Here is a 2399-nt window from a genome sequence, read left to right on the forward strand (position 1 = left end):
TTTTCAAGTATTATTCCTAAGAAATCTGCATCAGAGTCTCCTGGTATACCTGTTGAGATGCAGATTCCTGGGCTCTGCTCCAGGACTATCATTTCCATGTCTCTGGGATTGGAGAAATTTGTGTTTTCAACTCATGCTTCAGATGATTCCTATGAAAAATAGTGTGCATATGTTTTTGACATTTTGTTTTGAGATAATCTTAGACTTCCCATGAGTTATAAAGACAGTACAGGGAGTTCTTGTGAACACTTAATTCAGCTTCTCATAAGTAATGTTAACGTTTTACCTAACCATATAACAAAGATCAAAACCAAGAAATTAACACTGGAACAAAATTATTAACTAACTTAGACTGTATTTATATTTCATCAGTTTTTTTTCACTATTTTTGTCCCCTCTTCCAGGACCCAGCTTAGGGGTCCCACATTGTCTTTAGTTGTTACATATGGCAAGTTTTACTGTTCTATATAATAGTCCCATATTCCACGTGGATAGAGGCAGAATCCTGGCTCTGAAAGGGGTTAGAGAGTTTATTCAGGTAATGATATGACAAAAACTCAAGTCACGATGACAGGACTGTTAAATAATGCTGCAAACACTGAATTGGCCAGATTCAGAATTAGAGCAGAGATTTAAAAATTATTCAATCTTGCATTCTTATTTCATTGATGAGGACTTACAGCCCAGAGAAGAAACATAAGCAAGTTGGTAGAAAGATTGGAACTGAGCACATACCACTTGGCTCCAAAGTTCCTTGTAACGTATTTAAATATCTGCCTCCGATTATATTTCTTTTAACTCAAAGCAAGGATCATGAACAGTTAAAAACATCATATCTATGGCCTCATATGATTCTTCCAATTTTTCAGCGAGAGGAACATGAAAAGTCTCATTTCCTCTGCGTTGGGATTAAGAAAACAGGTTCAGACAGAGAAACTGACTTACCCAAGGTCCCATGGCCAGGATACACTTGAGCCATGTCTGTATCTCTATGACCTGACTCCAGAGTTGGTGCTATTTTGCAGTACATCACACTCCTCTGGCCTAGAATTTATGCACTCTGTGCTGAAATGGATATTTTGTGTATTCAAATGGAACATTTGGAGGAGTGAGTATTTATATACAAATTCAAATAGGGCACCCAAATGGGGAAATGTTGTGAACCTGGCATATTTAGCAATTATAAATGGGAGATGTGATTGTAGGAAGAGAACTGACATGAATCAGCATGAAATTTTGCACTTGGCAGATAGAACTAGATAATCCCAAGGTGTTTCTTTTTTCTTTTTAAATTAAATTTAATTTAAGCATCTTAGTCCTTGTCTGTCCTGAGAATGAAATGGGTTGCTTTTATGAATTTTTCTACTGCCGGTAGTTTGGCATATTTCTGAAAAAAAAATTGTTCTTGGGAGAATAAGTATAATTTAGGACTCTGCCATAAACACAGCTACCAACAAAATTGTAGACAGACGAGAGAGTTTATGTTTTGCCACTAAAACTTGTTATGTGCCCATAAGCAAATAGCTATTTTTGGATGCTATGCCTCAGTCACACAAAATGTAAAATGAGAGTGTTAGAATTGGTGACTTCTTGGGCAAAGCCATAGCTGGGATAGATCATGGGAGATGCCCAGGGGAGGGGAAGGATGGGTTGAACAACATCTGTACCATTAATTGATGGGGGTGGTATTTGCATAAAAAGTACCACCTTTTTCCTATATTGTCTGTGATTCCCAAGGTCTTGGTTTAACACTGTTTCCTGTGGTATCTTTTTGTCATCTTTAACAAAAGCCATGTCTGTGCCTGTCTTTATTTTTACTTATTGCTTTAAAGGCATAACTAGTTGTAAAAAGTTTCTATTGTTCCTATTCCAGCTGTGTCTCTGTCCTGAATTCCTACACTTTGTAAGTTTACAGGACAGAAGTACCACTCAGTAGGTAGAATAAAGAAATCTTGTGTTCTTTGAGGGCTTCAGATAACAATGATTTGCAGAGTGGACAGCCTTTTGGGCAAAACCATATGAAATACTCAATTATTGCAACTAGAGACCTAGTGTGGGAGACACCTTGGCAAATTGTGGATTAGTGAAATATGGCTTTAGTGTCTGGCACCTAACTTAGTATTTCTATACCCCAGTACCACCTACTTGTATCCCTATTTCCCCAGCTCGTAAATAACAAACATGGCCTTAGGGGGTTGCCCTGCCAATAGGATTTGCCTTCTAACAGGGGAATTTTACAGGTAAAATTTCTGAAGGGTGTCTGGGATTTTGAAAGACATTGTTAGCTGACCAGGACATATCCTAAAGTCAACCATAAGGGGATTTTTTTTTTTATTCTTTAAGGTTAGCCCCAGAAGTTATATTAGAAATTTTACTTAAATTTGAAATACATGACAAAC

The 2399-nt window shown here is 37.2% G+C and overlaps 1 annotated feature.

Annotated features, from left to right (window-relative positions):
• Positions 386–555: an enhancer, noted in NCBI's record as "experimental_83006 CRE fragment used in MPRA reporter constructs". NCBI's record gives its function as "activates a minimal promoter by MPRAs in K562 erythroleukemia cells, with activity observed for the introgressed 5:151976143 variant allele {active_cell/tissue: K562}" and the evidence as "EXISTENCE:reporter gene assay evidence [ECO:0000049][PMID:34662402]".

This window comes from Homo sapiens, chromosome 5 (genome assembly GCF_000001405.40).
Source record: "Homo sapiens chromosome 5, GRCh38.p14 Primary Assembly".
Classification (NCBI taxonomy): domain Eukaryota; kingdom Metazoa; phylum Chordata; class Mammalia; order Primates; family Hominidae; genus Homo; species Homo sapiens.